This window comes from Homo sapiens, chromosome 7 (assembly GCF_000001405.40).
Source record: "Homo sapiens chromosome 7, GRCh38.p14 Primary Assembly".
Classification (NCBI taxonomy): Eukaryota; Metazoa; Chordata; class Mammalia; order Primates; family Hominidae; genus Homo; species Homo sapiens.
The window spans coordinates 143011429-143029259 of NC_000007.14; the positions used below are offsets into that span (position 1 = coordinate 143011429).

The 17831-nt window shown below is 39.9% G+C and overlaps 1 protein-coding gene across 1 annotated transcript; it reads right to left on the reverse strand.

Annotated features, from left to right (window-relative positions):
• Window positions 1–14771: 14771 nt before the first annotated feature.
• On the reverse strand, window positions 14772–15704 carry OR9A2 (olfactory receptor family 9 subfamily A member 2). The gene has a single exon (NM_001001658.1). It carries the CDS (start codon window positions 15702–15704, stop codon window positions 14772–14774), a length of 933 nt encoding a protein of 310 aa, NP_001001658.1.
• Window positions 15705–17831: the final 2127 nt, after the last annotated feature.

A 17831-nucleotide genomic window follows, 5' to 3' on the forward strand; every position in this document is an offset into this window, starting at 1 on the left:
TGTGAACCTGCTCCTTAAATGTGAACCTGCTCCTTAAATGTGAACCTGCTCCTTATGGCCAGATGTGATCCTGCTCCTTTAAATGTGAACCTCCTCTTTATGGCCGGATGTGAACCTGCTCCTTAAATGTGAACCTGCTCCTTAAACGTGAACCTGCTCCTTATGGCCAGATGTGAACCTGCTCCTTTAAATGTGAACCTCCTCCTTATGGCCGGATGTGAACTTGCTCCTTAAATGTGAACCTGCTCCTTATGGCCAGATGTGAACCTGCTCCTGTATTTTTTATGTTCTTCATCTCCTAAGAAGTGGTCCCTCTCATAGTCACAGGAGTGGATACCTGACCTAAGCTCATACAACTCAGAATGGGTAGAGCTGAGACTTGGGCCTAAGTCTGGCTGTAAATTCCATGTTTTTCCACGAATTGTTTTCCAATGATGAGACGAAATTCAGGGGAAAGAATCTGGGCCTCTGAGAAAGCTACTCTTCTGCACTTATAGCCTCTCCAGAGTAGTTTTCTGATCAAATTTTAAAGTGTTCTGGGAGGCTTCAGGAAAGTAGCTCATCCGTGAGAAAGAAAGAAAATAACCTGGCAGAAGCTGGTTACCTTCTGAAATCCCAACTCCTGAGCGGGGAGTTCTTGCTTGTAAGATCGCTTTCTGAATGTCCTCATGGTTGACTTAACATCAGCTGAGTCTTCTATGAAATGTCTATTTAACGTGACTAGAAATGCATGCCAAGAGATTAACGCTGAGCGGGGCCAAGTCCCAGCTGAAAACGGGTGTAAGACGCAGGGGACCCAAGATTTTCTGCCTGATGATACTTACTTTTCTTTCAAACATGAAATAAAACATACCCCCCACAGGGGATCCACCCTTCTTTTGCTCCCCCATCTAATTAGAAAGATTGACTTGTCTAATGATATAAATTGGCCAGTATCTTCTTTATATGGATTATCTTTATAATTTTTCCCTTGAGTTAAAATAAATGTATGATGTGTTGATATAAATTGGAGTGGGAAATTGGAGAGATGAGGAAGATGGAGAGAGTTATGAGTAGATATCTATCTAAGTTACTTATTTCCCCCTCCAGGCCCAGTTGGCTGTTCCTCCTCTGTGCTGCCATGCTCCCCTGCACACTCCTCTGTGGGGTGCTTGTGACCATGTGCTGTTCACTGACTCGTCCCTCTCCGTCACTGTACTGAGCTCTTGGATGGATGAGCTGGATTTCATCTCTGAGTTCTCAGTGCCTAGCATAAGGCCTGATGCTGAATGAGTATTCATTCAGAGTGTGTATGTGCGTGTGTGCGTGTGTGTGTGAGAGAGAGAGAGGAAGAAGGAGAGGGAGAATGGGGGGTGGAAGTGAAGGGGAAAAGAGAAAAGTAAAAAGGGGAAAAGGGAGAAGAAAAGAAGTAAAAAATGAAGGAACGAGGCCAGGCGCAGTGGCTCATGCCTGTAATCCCAGCACTTTGAGAGGCCACGGTGGGTGGAACACCTGAGGTCAGGAGTTCGAGACCAGCCTGGCCAACATGGTAAAACCCTGTCTTTACTAAAAATACAAAAAGTAGCCGGTCATGGTGGTGGGTGCCTATAATCCCAGCTACTCAGGAGACTGAGGCAGGAGAATAGCTTGAATCCAGGAGGCAGAGGTTGCAGTGAGCCGAGATCATGCCATTGAACTCCAGCCTGGGTGACAGAGTGAGACTCAGTCTCAAAAAAAAGAGGGAACGACTGTGAGATACGTCTGGATCAGCACTTCATTCCTTACCTGACTCCTGTAGATTTCTCTAATAAGAGGCCCATTCATGGTGCTTTGGATCTCTGGGAATAAGTTTTAACTCACATATTACTCTATACCACAGCCCTCGACATATCTGAATATTCCTCTGTCTCCAGTGATGGTTACTCATGTAGATGGCTGTAGGGGAAAAATCGGGGAACTGCTACTAGACATACTTGTCATGGTGTCGCAGGGCCCTACCTCTGGTGCCTCAGATTCCTTTTCGTTTGATAGATCGTGGGTCTGTGGACTAGCTCAAATCTGGAGATTTGGCAAAGGATCCTGACTTTCCAGTGGGGTGACTGTCCTTAGCCTTTTTCTTCTACATTCTTGATCTCTTTCAGTTATGTATATTCAGCAGAACTCTTGTTAGCTGCCCACACAGCCTGCCTCAAGAACACTATGTTCTGTGAGCCATCTCCAAAGATCCCTGCAATTCAGCCTGCTCCTATCTACCAGTTCAACCTTTCTGCCCAATAGGGTAAGTCCACCCGCTTTGCATCTGACAGTTAAGCACTGCCACCTGGCCTCTGCTGTTCTAGTTATCCATGTCCCCTTGCTACTAGAGAACTCAGTTCTGTAACAGCAGCTCCTAACATAATCCACCCCAGCTAATACTTTCTTTTACAGCACATTCTTTTTAATCATCTTGCTAGGCAGAGTGTCCTCCAGGTCTCCTTGGGAACATGATCAGCCGATAGGCTTTTCGGTCTTACATAGTAGATCCATTATAGCATTTCCACTCTTCTAAGCCTTTTGATCCTTTCCTTTATCGTCTTCCAAGGCAATTTTTGGCATCTCCGCTTAATTTAATGAAGGATGTTACTTTTTCCAAGCTTCCATGAGTCAGCAAATAGCATATATTTGACTCATTTTCCAAGCTCCTTGCCAGCGTATTAAATCCTGCATGATGGGAGAGTGGCTTCATGTTAACAAACTCTTCCTTATCCAGCTTTATCTTCCAGTCACCCCCTGGATCCACTGGCCTCTGGATCCACCCACAGGCATCTCTCCTAGTACCTGCTAGTGCACATTGGCCCATTCTTGCAGGAGCTCTGGGGTACAAAATCTCTTTTCTGTGAGCAGCCTCAGATCTTCCCCAGCTTATGTTGATATTTAACCCTGTGTATGAATCGGGTAGAAGGAGAAGAGGAGGGAGCAGTTTCTGAGGAAGACAAGCATCGTCTCGTAAGGCACCAACTTTATTTGAACTCTTTGCATATTCCTAAAGTAAGAGAGGGTGCCATATCTTCCAATAAGGGAATGAGATATTTCTGCAGCCCAAGGGAGTTCAGAGAAATCTGGGTGTTCAAAGTTCTCAACTGCATTTATCTAGAAATCTTTACACCAAGACTGAGTCCCACTCATTCCCTATCATGAGCCAGTCTTTGCTACAGGAGATTTGGTTAGACTGAATGAATCTTCTTTGAAATTCTGTTACTTTTACAGTTCAATTCTGAGTCTTCTCTTCACTTTGTCAGCCCTTTGACTGCAGGGAGTGTCTCTTTAATTGCTGCCAAAGAAGCTTTCTGACTCTCATACCTTTAAGTAGAGCTGAGCGTGTCATTTTCTCTCCTCAACAATGTTGGGGCACTTAGCAAACATTGACTGAATTCCACAGTCCTTATAGTTACTGTTTTCCTTGAACCTTTCAAATACTGGTGCAAAGAGGAGAAAATCTTAACAACTGCATTCACTCCATCATCTCATTGCTCTGGGGTCTATCAGTACCTCCGCTGATGCAGTTCTCTCTGACATCTGCCAGCAAGTGACCCACCTCCAGATTGTCTGCTTTTAGAACCACTTCCAAGAGACTTGGATTGGGCTCCCTAGGAGCGGAGCCTGAGACAGGGATTCCTGTGGAAGTGACATATGGTAGAAATGCTGTCTGGGAAAAGGGAGGAAGGCAAGCAGGATAAGCCAAGGGCAGAGAGCTAACCCGGGATATGGTTTCAGCCACATCCCATAGGACCTCCATAGAGGTGATCTTGTGATGAAACCAGTGGAATGGCTTTTTGTATCTCTCTGTCAGGCAGTCTGCCTCGGGCTGTGGGGATTTTTTGGGGAGGGGTAGAGTATAAATTTGCATGAGGTGGTTTCTGTTCAGCCTACTGTGATTCCCTGAAGGGGAGGTTGTAAGCATTTTTAGAAGACAATTCTCACAGTAGCAGGGGGGTGGGTGTTAGAGTGTGAGTGTGGGGCAGAGAAGCATCAACAGCTCCCAATTCCATGACATGTTCCAAAAAGTCACCTAAGAGAAGACAGAACTTTTTGATATTTAGGGAGAGAAAAGTCTAATACACAAACGGATTTGGCTTAAGCAACTGGACAGAAGATCCCAACATCAAGGAAATGTCAAAGCTATAGATAAATTGTGTGTTTGCATGTATAGGGTTAGATCCCTGGTTAATTCTCATTAAATTATAAGTTTTTGTTGTCCTCAGGACTGCTGCTAACATCCCATTCTCAAAAAGTGAACAGGAGGCAAAAATAAAAGTTAAAGAAAAAAGCTTTATCCCCTTTACCCTAATTCTGGAAAAGAGCATCCAAGTATTTATGTAATGGTGAAGAAGAGAAAACAAATTTAAAATCTGGTCATTTCTCTAAGAATGGTATTTAGTGTTAACCATATGAAAGAAATTGCCAGTAAATCTAGGGAAAAAGGGTATATGTATGTATGTATGGGTGATTTTGTGGAAAACTGTTCAAAACAGTTTTGAACCGTGCAGGTTCATGGCCTTCAGAACAATAAAAAATAAATTCAGGAGAAAAAGTTGCAAACAAATTGTTTTACCAAGACCACATGGTCCAGGCATACTGGAAATAATGACCAAGAGATGAAGAATTATCCCTCATACAAATATCTATCTGGTTAGGCCAAAGAGAGAACAACATCAAAAACAGCTGTGATAACACTGTGAAGATTTCAAAATATCTCACAAATTTAAAGTATTCTACTGGTTATTGTTTCTGTGTTAAACCCAATGTGTATACCCAATCTAAATACCCTGAGCCCAAGATAACAGCAATGCATGACTAAAGGAATGTGTAGCATATGGTTCACTAAAGACCACCAAACATCTCGACCTCCCAACCAGATTAACTGAACCCCTCAGACTTCAAGCTCAACCGAAGAAGAGGTTTGTTCATGTCCAGATTTTAAGTGTTTTTCTTAAATAACTGTTTTCACAATTATCCTTGTTTATCTGGCCAGACAGTCTGCAGAGCTTCCCTGTCAATCATAGTTGCTTTAAATCTGCTCACCAATAGTTACAATGTCTGGATCAGCTCTGCATTGAGTTCTGTTGTTTTTTTCTCTTGAGAATGAATTGTTTCCTTGTCTCAAATTTTTTTAAAAAAGGCTGTAAATTGTATGTAGAACAGCTGAAAAACAATCCATTTTCAAGAGTAAAAAACAATGGAACTCAATGCAGAGCTGATCCAGACATTGGAATGATCGGTGAGTAGCTTTAACACAACTATGATTGACAAGGAAGCTCTGCAGACTGCCAGGCCAGTTAAACAAGCATAATTGGTGAAAAAAAGCATTTAAGAAAAGCACTTCAAGTCTCTGGAAATTGTACTGAGAGCATACAGCAAACAAAGAAAACATTTACTTAAGAAAATCTATCAAAGCTTGGTCAGAAGAGTGAGAGTCTATGATATTTGAACTACAACCCACTACCTTCCTCCCACCTCCCAGCTCATTACGATAGGAAATCCACTCCAGGCACGTGCAGCCAAGAGCACTGGGCTTCTTTACTATCAGCTCCCAGTCAAGGGCTCTGGTATCTTCCCAGAAGGGGTAGGTAGCCAAGCATTGCTCATCCCTCTCTTTTCCATGTACACATTGCAGAAATTAATTTCCAGGAGAGGAAAGACGAGAGGTCAGAGACTTCCTGCTATTACCCAGTCCTCACTCATAGGGCAGGGGACCTGGCTCGAGAGAAGCATGCTGAGGATGCTAGGATCCCACTCATCCTCACTCACAGAGTAGAAGCTCTACACCAGAAAAGGCAAAGCAGGAAGTGCAAAGCTGCTACCCCTGTCTGCCACCCTGAAACTAAAGCAGAGTTGTCACTTAGTGAGAGCTGCACCACCATCCTCACCCCCAGCTCAAGAGCTATGGCTCAGATATTTTGCTCAGGGGAAGAGCCAGGCCATAAAACAGAAAGCTCTGAAAGAATTCACTTTGTTTGAAAGAGAGGGTAGGAAAGTTCAAGTCCAACGAAACTCTCAAAAACAATGAAGGTTTTAGTGGAAGGCAAAGAAGAAGGCTGATACATTCATGAGAGGTAAGAAATAAATTATAGACCAGATAGATTAACTGGGAGACCCTGAGAAAGAGAGAGCTAAGAAATCTGACCTCAAAGCCACTGCTATAAAGGAATCCAAACTTAATTGTATCAGACTATGGAACAATTTACAACCCAGGCATTATCAAAAATAATAGGACCATCAGCTGGCAATTAGTGGAGCCTAACAATTGTGTGTGATCAGTGTGACAGTCAAAGAATCCCTATTAAAATCACTATTACTTCAGGATCTGCATACATAACCAAGACTGCACCCTCTAAGAGCAATGCTAGAGAGTACACACAGCCAGGGAAATAGTCATGTATCACTTAATGGCGGGAATACATTTTGAGAAATGCATTGTTTAGTGATTTTGTCATTGTATGAAAATCATGAAATGTACTTCAACAAACCTAGATGGTACAGGCTAGATGGTATAGCCTAGTGCTCTTAGGCTACAAACCTGTACAGCATATTACTATACTGAATACTCTAGGCAATTGTGACAGTGGCAAGCATTTCTGTATCTCAACATAGAAAATATATGTTAAAAATACAGTATAAAAGATAAAAAATAGTACACTTACCATAAACAGAGCGTGCAGGACTAGAAGCTGTTCTGGGTGAGTCAGTGAGAAATGATAGGTAAATGTGTTGACCTGGGGCATTGCTGTACACTGCCTGCTGTAGACTTCATAAACACTGTGCACTTAAACAACACTACAGTTTCTTTCTGAAATAATAAATAAACCTCAGCATATTGTAACTTTTTTACTCTATAAACTTTTTTTAACTTTTGGACTCTTTTATAATAACACTTAGCTTAAAACACAAACACATTTTACAGCTGTACAAAAATACTTTCTTTCTTTAGATCCTTATTTTATAAGCTTTTTTCTATTCTTAATTTATTTTTTACTTTTTAAACTTAAAAAAGAAAAACGAAGACACAAACACACACATTAGCCTAGGCCTACAAATGGTCATGATCATCAGTGTCACTGTCTTCTACCTCCACATCTTGTCCCAATGGAAAGTAGTCAGTGGCAATAAAAAGCATAGAGCTGTCATTTCCTATGATAACAGTGCCTTCTTCTGGCATAACCTCTTGAAGGATCTGTCTGGGACTGTTTTATAGTTAACACCTTTTTTGTAAGTAGAATGAGTATATTTTAAAATAATGATAAAAAGCATAGTATAGTAAATACATAAATTAGTAAAATTAGTATTATTGCCAAGTATTATGTACTGTGCTATACTTCTAACTCTATGTGCTATACTTTTATACAACCACAGCATGGTATGCTTGTTTGTTTATACCAACATCACCACAAACACATGAGAAACGTGATGTGCTATGATGTTACAACAGCTACCATGTCATTAGGTGATAGGAGTTGTTCAGCTCCATTATAATCTTATAGAACCACCATCTTACATGCAGTCCATCATTGACTGATATATTGTTATATAGTGCATGACTATAAACAAATTGATAACCAAATTACAATAATAATCCCCTGGAAGTGAGATAACAGTATCCATAGTGATACAATATAATATCTAAAATGTGTAGTTTTCAACAAAAAATTACAAGATATGCAAAGAAACAGGAAAGTGTGACTCATACACAGGAGGAAAAGCTAACAATAGAAACTGTATGTGAGAGGGACCAGATGGCATATTTAACATTTAAATTCAAAGTAGACATTATAAATATGTTCAGAGAATTAAAGGAAATGATTTTATTTAAAAAGTAAAGAAAAGTATGATGATAATGTTTCTCTGAGTAGAGAATATCAACAAAAATATCAAAATGATAAAAATGGCCACATGGAGATTCTAGAGTCTGAAAGTACAATAAGTAAAAAATTAACCAGAGGAGCACAACTGTATTTTGTAACTAATGGAAGAAATAATGATTAAACTTCAAGATAGGTCAATAGAAATCACGCAATCCAAAGATCAGAGACAAAAAAGAAATACAGAAAAATGAAAAAGTGTCAGAGAAATATGGGATACCACTAAGTGTACCAATATACATGTAATGGAAGTACCAGAAGGATAGGAGAGATACAGAAGAACGTAAAAAATATTTGAAGAAATCATGGTTGAAAACTTCTCAAATTCGATGAAAAATATTAATCTACTCACCCACAAAGGTCAATAGACTTCTAGTAGAATAAACACAAAGAGATCTACAGTAGACAAATAATAGTAAAATCTCTGAGAAACAAGGAAAAAAATCTTCAAAGCAACAAGAGAAAGTGTCTTCTCACATCTAATGGAACATCTCACATCTAATGGAATCAGTAAGATTAACAGCTGACTTCTCATCAGAAACAGTTGAGACCAGAAGGGAACAGGATGACATATTCCAAGTGGTGAAAGAAAAAACAAGGTCAACCACAAATCCTATAGCTGGCAAAATTATCTTTCAAAAATTAAGGCAGAAGAAAGAAATTCTGAGATAAACTAAATGAGAGAATTTGTTGCTAGCAGACCAAACTTACAAGAAATACTAAAGGAATTTCTGCAGACTAAAAGCAAGTGACATCAGACAGTGTTTATAATCCACATAAATAAAATAAAAAGCATTGATAAAAGTAAGTTTTTATGGTAAGTAATTATAAGGAATATATAGTAAGTAATTATAAAAGAAAGCATAAATGCATGTTTATTCTCTTCTTTTAACTAGTTTAAAAAAACAGTTACATAAGACAATAAGTATATACCTTATTTGTGAATGGAAAACATAAAGAAATGTAATAGATTTACCAAAAATAGCACAAAAGAGTTAGCTAGGAGCAGAACAGTTTTGGAGTAATGAAATGAGATCAGATGTAAATGTGAATCTGAGAAACAAATGAAGATAACCAGAAAAAATAAATAAGGTTAACATTACAAATGCTAGAAATATGCAAACGTTCTCCTTTCTTCTCCCATCTCCTTTAAAATTATAAGTAACAATTATAACAATATATTGTTAAGTTTGTAAGTAGGTGAACTATGTATTACAACAATAACAGAACAAAAGGAGGAAAAAGAGAATAGAGCTATATAGGAGTAATGCTCCTATATCTCACTGGCATTGTTAGTATAAATCTGAAGCCAATCTGATAAGATATATATGTTAAGCTCTAGAGCATTCATTTAAAATACAATTTAAAAATCAACAAAGGATTTAAAATGTTATACAGTGATCCCTCAGTATCTGTGGGTGCTTGGTTTCAAACCAAGGTTCCAAAAGAGGAACCCCACAGATACAAAAATTCACAGATGCTCAAGTTCTTTATATAAAATTGTATACTATTTGCATATAACCTACATACATCATCCTGTATACATTAAATCATTTTAGATTACTTATAATACCTAATACAAGGTAAATAGTTGTTATTCTATATTGTTTAGGAAATCATGATTTTTAAAAAGCATGTACATGTTCAGTACATACACAACCAACCTTTTTTTCCCAAATATTTTTTATCTGCAGTTGGTTGAATCCAAGATGAAGAATCCATGGATATGAAGGGTTGACTGCCATAGAAAAAATATTCACTTAATGCAAACATAATATGTGTAATGAAAACGTTAAATGATGTTGTTGAAAAGGTGGACAACATGCATAAACAAGAAAAGGTTTCTGATAGACAGCTTAAAACTATAAGAAAGAATATAATGGAAATGTTATAAATAAAACCACGATATGGGAGATGAGGAATTATTTTCACAGGTTCATTGGTAGATTCAACATAGCTGAAGAAAGAATTAACAAACTTAAAAATAGGCCACAGTGTATGCATAGTACAAGTTTCCTAGGTTTCCTACTGCTATGGTTTGCACGTCCCTTTCAAAACTCATGTTGAACTTTGGTGGCCATTGTAATAGTGTTGAGAGGTGGAACTTTTAAGAGGTAATTAGGTTATGAGGGTTATGCTCTCAGGGATAAATTAATGTCATTATTGGGGGAGTGGATTCATTTTCATGAGCATGAATAAATTCGTGTGAGGGCAAGAGAGTTCAGCCTCTCTTGCTCTCTCTCCCTCTTGCATTTCTGCCTTCCACCATGGAATGACACAGCATGCAGGCCCTTGGCAATGCCAGCACCATGCCTTTGAACTTCTCAGCCTCTGAAATCATGAGCCAAATAAACTTCTTTTCTTTATAAATTACTTAGCCTGTGCTAGTCTAACAACAAAAAACAGATTAAGATAGAAAATGTGCACCAAGAGTGGGGCTTTTGCTATAACAAATACCTGAATATGTGGAAGTGGCTTTTAGCTGGGTAATGAGCAGAGGTTGGAGGAATTTAGAAGAGCAGGCTAGAAGAATCCTAGACTACCATAAATTGAACACTAAGGGAAATTCTGGTAAGAACTCAGAAGAAAAGAAGAAATGTAGAAAAATCTGAAACTTTTAAAAGATTACTTAGGTGGTCGTGATAAGAATATTGATAGAAATATGAAAAGTAATGGCCATTTTGATGAAAGCTGAGACAGAAAAGAGGAATGTCCATCCTTTTTTTAAAGTAAAGGCCATTCTTTTTATGAGGTGGCAAGGAACTTAACTGAATTGTGCCTGTGTTAGTCTGTTCTCACATTACTATAAAGAAATACCTGAGACTGGGACATTTATCAAAAAAAAAGAGGTTTAATTGGCTCATGATTCTATAGGCTGTACAAGAAGCATAGTGGCTTCTGCTTTTCAGGAGGCCTCTAGAAGCTTCTAATCATGGCTGAAGGCAAAGGAGATGCAGGCTTCTTACATGGCAGGGGCAGGAGCAAGAGAGAGAAGGGAGGTGCTACACACTTTTTAAATGGCCATGTCTCATGAGAACTCATTCACGATCTATCTCAAGGACAGTGCCAAGGGGAATGGTTCTAAACCATTCATGAGAAATTTGCACCCATGGTTCAATCACTTCCCACCAGGCCCCACCTCCAATACTGGGGATTACAATTAGACATAAGGTTTGGGCAGGGACACAGATTAAAATTACATCTGTGTCCATGCCCATGGGTTTTATGGAAGGTAGAATTTAAGAGTGATGAATAAGACTATCTGGTGGAAGAAATTTCTAAGCAAAATATTGAAGGATCTGCAAGGCTACTTTTAACCATATGCAGTAAAATGTAAGAGAAAAGAAATAAAGATGAAATCTATAACCAAAAAAAAAAAGCAGAATGAAAAGATTTTGAAAATTTTCAGCCTGCCCACATAAAGAATGAAAATGTGTGTTTAAGAGAACAGACCAAGGGTGTGACCAAGTGACCATTTGCTAATGAGATTAGTATAAATAGAAGGGCTCATCAAGACAATGGGCATTTCAGAGATCTTTGAGGCTGCTCATCCCATTACAGGCCTAGAGATCTAGGAGGGCAGAATAGCTTTGGGGAATGGGCACAGGGTACGCTTCACAGGCCACCTGGAGTTGCTGCTCCCTGCATTCCTGGACAGTGTTCTTTGGCTGCTCATGGTGTGGTTCAAGTAACCCCAGGTGTGGCTTGACCTACCACTCTGGAAGGAAGGTACAAATGGTAGACTTTGGTGGCATCCATTTGGTGTTAATTCTACAGGCATGCACAGTGGAAGAGCTACAGAGGCATGACTTCCTCTACCTAGATTTCAAAGGATGCCATGTGAAGCCTGTGGGCTCAGGCAGAAACTTGCTGCAGGAGCAGAGTCACCACAGAAAGTCTTCACCAGGGGATGCCTAGTGAAGCCATGGGAGCAGAAATGCCCCTGACACTCAAGAACTGCAGAGCTACTAGTGTGCAATGCCAGCCTGGGAGAACTGCAGGCACTAGACTCTAACCTGTGAGAGCTGCTGAGAGGACTGACCACAGCAAAGGCTTGAGGGCTCAACCCCAACCCCAGCATGCCCAGGATGTGGGACATGGAGTCAAAGGAGATTATTTTCCAGCTTAAAGACTTAATGTTGTTTTCCCTATTGGGTTTTAGACTTACTTGGGACCAGTCAACTCTTTTTTCTTGCCTATTTCTTTCTTTTGGAATGGAAATGTCTATTCTATGCCTGTCTTACATCATATTTTAGAAAGATGTAACATTAATTCACAAGCTCACAGATGAAGAGAAATTTTCCTTGGGGTAAATCGTGCCTTGAGTCTCACCCATATCTGACTTAGATGAGACACTTGTCTTTGGACTTTTTTTTTTTTTTTTTTTTTTTTTTGAGACGGAGTCTCGCTCTGTCGCCCAGGCTGGAGTGCAGTGGCGCGATCTCGGCTCACTGCAAGCTCCGCCTCCCGGGTTCACGCCATTCTCCTGCCTCAGCCTCCCGAGTAGCTGGGACTACAGGCGCCCGCTACCACGCCCGGCTAATTTTTTTTTGTATTTTTAGTAGAGACGGGGTTTCACCGTGTTAGCCAGGATGGTCTCGATCTGCTGACCTCGTGATCCGCCCGCCTCGGCCTCCCAAAGTGCTGGGATTACAGGCGTGAGCCACCGCGCCCGGCCGTCTTTGGACTTTTGAGTTGATGCTGGAATCAGTTAAGACATTTAGCAGCTATGGGGAAGGGATGAATGTATTTTGTATGTGAGAAGGACACTACTTTTGGAGAATGAGGGGTGAAGTGCTATGACATGAACGTCCCCTCCAAAACTCATGTTGAAATTTAATTACCATTGTGACATTGTTGAGAGGTAAGACCTTTAAGAGGCGATTAAGTCATGAGGGATATCCCCTCATGAATGAATTAGTGTTGTTTTCACAGGAGTGAGTTTGTTATTCTGAGAGTGGATTTGTTATGAAAATGAGTTTGGCCCTCTCTTGCCCTCTCACTCTGGCCCTCTCTTGCCCTTCCACCTTCTGCCATAGGATGACACAGCACCAAGGCCCTTGTCAGATGCCGGTGTTATGCTCTTGAATCATAAGCCAAATAAATTTTCAGTGTCCAGAATCATAAGCCAAGTATGTTTATTTTCTTTGCAAATAATCCAGGCTGGTATTATTTATATTCTGTTATAGCAATGCAAAATGGACTACCACTATCTTATTATGACTATACTAGAACCTAATTATAGACATCTACTATCTAATTATTTGGATCTTATATCTTATATTTCTACCAGAAGTTGGTTTTTTAAAAACCCTATTCGCCAGCATTCAGATCAATACTTAGTATTCTCAGAGTTTTATGTTTTTCCAATCTGATGGATGTGATACAGTGGATGGCTAAGTAAACTTTGGCAAGTTATTTAAATTCTCTGAGCTTCTATTGTCTCATCTCTTAAAGGATACTTCTCTGGATTAATGAATTAGAAAAAAGGTATTCTTTCTGGTCAGAACAGATCCTCATTTACTGGGCTTGGAAACCATGGGCACCTTTGTTTAAGCAAAAGTCTCCCCTTTCTCCAGCCAATGCAGTGCCACCAGAGTCCATTGGTTGGCTTGCAGAGCATGGGCTGGCTGAATTTAAAGCTCATTCCCCACCTTGTCTGGTACTTTAATGCAATGCAAACTACCCAAACATACATGACGGTTATCACTCCTCACAGGACAAGACAACCTGGCATCCTCACACAGTACTCTTCAAAATTCTCAGTAGCCTCATCATCCCACTGCTGAACAGCTCAATTTTCTCACTTACTTTAGGGCTGGTAGAATCTGCTGATTGTTGTTGTTTAGGTAAACTTCTTCCTTATAAGGACTTCTTCCAATATTATGTGAAATTCCAACAGTTACACTACCAAACAGCCAATCCCTATAATTTCTAGAAAGCCGGGAGTCAAAAGAATGGCCTCTTATTTTTAAAAAATTCTGCCCACAGAGAAGATACACATGATGGTACTGAGACTGTTGGATTTGAGAGACGGAGAATCAAAAGACATTATAAAGTTTGAAGTCTAGATCTGGATACAGTCTGAACAGACATAGTTGTGTTTAACAGCCATAAAATACAGGATGCTCTCTAGAATTAGTCATTTAGTTCTTATTTGCCCCTGTCCCTATACTCACCACAAAGAAGGGCAGTGAAAGGAATATGCTGAAGCTTAACAAAAATAAATTTTCCTCCATTTTTATCCTCAAATATTTTTATCTTCTTTACACCACAAATATCTCCTGAATGAGAAGCATTCCAATCCTCATATCGCCATTCTAGACTGGTTCTGTGACAAAACGTAAACAGTGTTACACTTCCTTTCCAGTATCAATGGGGCAGAGAGAAAGAGCTTTAGGATATCTAAAATGCATATGGCCATCTTGCCAAAAAATTGCACAAAAATATAGGGAAGAACTTAGCAACAGGTGATGAAGGACCAAAGTGAGCATCTCTACCTTTCTACTCTGATTAGGACACCTTTCTCAGTACACCTCCCTCCACACTTCCTCCCTTCCCCAGAAAATACATTTTCAGAGATGGACTATGAGGAAATGAGTTGGGCTAATAGAATTCTTACAAAAATGTCTGCATTTCCTTTCTCTAGTCCCCCCCAAATCACAAGAATATGTTCAACAGTGGAAACAGGCAGGAACTAAGGCTATGAGAGTCTCCTGGACAGACAATGGATTTCATTATTACCAGCCTAATCTACTTCCATGGTGTGATGGCGAATTGTACACACTCTTTGACTTTTGTAATGAGAGGATAAGAGAAAAGAGGAGTTAGAATTTTCTAGGTGACTTAATAATTAACCCTGAGGCTTGGACCACCTAAAACTGACTTACAGAACAGCTAATCTTTCAGGAGTTGACAGCAGCGTTTCATCCCATCTCGGAGGGCCTCTTTGACTTTGTCATTCCGAAGAGTAAAGATGAAAGGATTCAGGAAGGGGGTTAACACAGAAACCAACAGGGAAACTATCTTATTGTACTCAACTCCCTGTGTTTGCTTGGGTTTCACGTAGAGAAACAAGCAGCTGCCATAGCCAATCACAACACAGGTGAAGTGGGAGGCAAAAGTGGAGAAGGCTTTCCTCCGGCCAGAGGCTGACGGGATCTTGAGGATGGTGGAGATAATGTAGGTGTAGGAGACAATCGTAGGGATCAAAGAACCAATGAGAATAAAAACAGCCATTAAGAAAAGGATAAACTCTGTGAGAAGAGTGTTATCGCAGGACAGTTTGAGCAATTGCCCTCGGTCACAGTAAAAATGGTCTAATGAATTTGATTTGCGGAAGGTAAACTGAAATGTGGCATAGATGGGCCAGATTTCAGAAAGAAATCCAAACACCCATGACACTATTACCACCCAAATACAGGTACTGCTGTTCATAATGATGTTGTACCTCAAAGGGTTACACACAGCCACATAACGGTCCACAGCCATCACTCCAAGTAATGCAAACTCCATGGTCCCACAGGAAAAGTTGAGCGATACATGTAGAGAAAGATACTGTCTGCATCCCAGGAAGAGCAATCCCCAAAGCATCATGGGGACAATTATGGTTGTGACCAGGATCTCCAGGGTAGAGAGGTGGCTGAGGAAGAAATACATGGGGGACTGCAGACGTTTATCCACACAGACAATCACAATGATGACCGTGTTTCCCATTAATGTCACTAAATAGAAGAAAAAGAATATAGCAAAAAGAATGTGGTGTAGTCCTTGGGACCCAGGGAAGCCTAGAAGGTGGAATTCAGTGGCACTAGAGTGGTTGTCCATCATTTAGTCCTTGATTCTGCTTGTTTTGAAGCCCAGAGATTAAAAGAGAGGTGGCATTGCTCCACATGGTCCTGCTCTCAAGAGAGAAGGAAGAAAAATTAGGTTAAGAAACTATTTCCAACCTGAGAATCAGGTGACATGTCCCTGCTACTGTGGTCGGCACATACATAGCTTGAGGTACATGTTGTCATCCCAAGTCTACAAGTGAGGCTCTCACTTCCCTGTGTAACCAGCCCCCTAGAATGGGTGAAGACATCTTCTTCTACTGGTGGTGAAATACCTTCCTTGCCTTTTTCCCCATTAAATATACCTTCTCTCGGGGGCAGAGGCTAAGACCTTTTAAATAGGCCAGTTTTAAAGGTGAGTCAATCAGGTCCCTCCGGTCCTGGAGTTACTTTCTCTTAGGTTAACTGTGCAAGATGACACAAAGGCATTTTATATGATGTTCAAAGGACAGAATTTTAAACCCCAGCTCTCATCTGTAATGGTAATGCATAGACCCACCTTTGGGGCCAGCAGAAAGGAGGCAGAGGATGTAAGACTAACATCTCTGCTGTTCCAGATTTTAAAATCTCCATTTTACAGAACAGCAAGATCTCTAAATGAGAACTCTAGAGCTTGGGATAATTTCCCAGAACAGATCCATTCTTCTCTAATTCCATTTTCCTTCCAAAGTTGTGGGAGGAAGGAAAGATGGCACCTGGCACAGAAAAGGAATAGATCTGGGACCGCCAGCTGTTAAGGATGCCTGGCTCTCTGCCTGTCGCTTCATTCCATTATTCAAATGTCACCCTTTCCAAAGACTCTTTCCAATCACTCTGCCCAAAACAGAAAAGACACACTTATTATTGGACTTCCATTTTTTTAATAACAGTTGTTATTACCTTGTATTATGTCTAATTATTTACTTCATTCCTTTATTTAACAATAAACAAATGTAGTCATGAACAGAACAAAGAAAATTCCATGCCCTGTGGAGCTTATATTCAAGGAAGAGGTGGGGGCTAGACCACACACAAGACACCTAAGTAAAATATGCAATAGTTTAGTTTGCTTATCATGTCACAGGGAAAAAAATAAGCAAGAAAGAAGGAGAGGAAATTTAAGTGTATTTATTATTTATCAACGGCATTAGAATATAAACTCCATGAGGGCTAGGACATGTCTTCACTGTTGTATTCTGAGGCTGGCACATAAAATGTACATACATAAATTAAGTAGTTATATATTTTATATATATATATCATATATCTTTTATATAGATATAGACAGATACATTATGTGAAATGAATATATCATAGATATATCTTATATATTAAATTATGTATTAATTTATCACAAGGTAACCGAACTAATAGCTGTGTGAGTCAAGATTTGAACCTAGGTCTGTCAGATTTCATCACTCACACAGCTAACTACCACACCTTATATTATATTATTATCTTATATTATTTATCTTATTTATATAAGATATATGAAATAAGATATATGAAATATATCTTATATTATATAAAATATACATATATTTTTTATTTATAAGATATTTAAATACATAAGATATATGTATCATATACATAAAATAAGTAGTGCTGACAAATTTTGCTAGATGAGGTATGGATGGATGGATGGATAATATATGATTAAATAATACTTGTTCTGGCCAGGGCCTGGGCCACATTCCCTCAATCCTATTCTGGTTGGTTTTCCTTCCTGCCTCACATTACCATTTTCCCTCCTGCCCTTCCCTTGCTTAGGTAACCCCTTCCCTGTCTACGTCACTGTTTTACTAATGGTTTAAAAAGCTTCAGGGACAGAATTGATGGGAAAGCTCAGTGTTCTGGTTTTCCACAACCTCTGCATAACCAGCACGAGATGAAGAAACATGAGCGAGAAGGACACCGACTGTCAGGGAGCCGTGACTGTGTTAGCATTGGGTCCAAGAGGAGCCGGAAGTGCTCTCTGCTATGCAGGAAGGGTCTGGAGATGAGCCTATACACTCTACTGCTCCCCTAGCCCACACTTCAATATCTGGGTGACTTTGTTCTAGAAGATAGGCAGGCCCAGGATGTCCCATCCTAAAATGCTTTTACCCTCTTCTTCATAGAGGAGACCCCTTGGAAAGACACTCAC

What these genes read in the sequence shown, in the direction of transcription:
- OR9A2 (NM_001001658.1), bottom strand. Translation starts at nt 15,704, where the DNA reads ATGATGGACAACCACTCTAGTGCCACTGAATTCCACCTTCTAGGCTTC.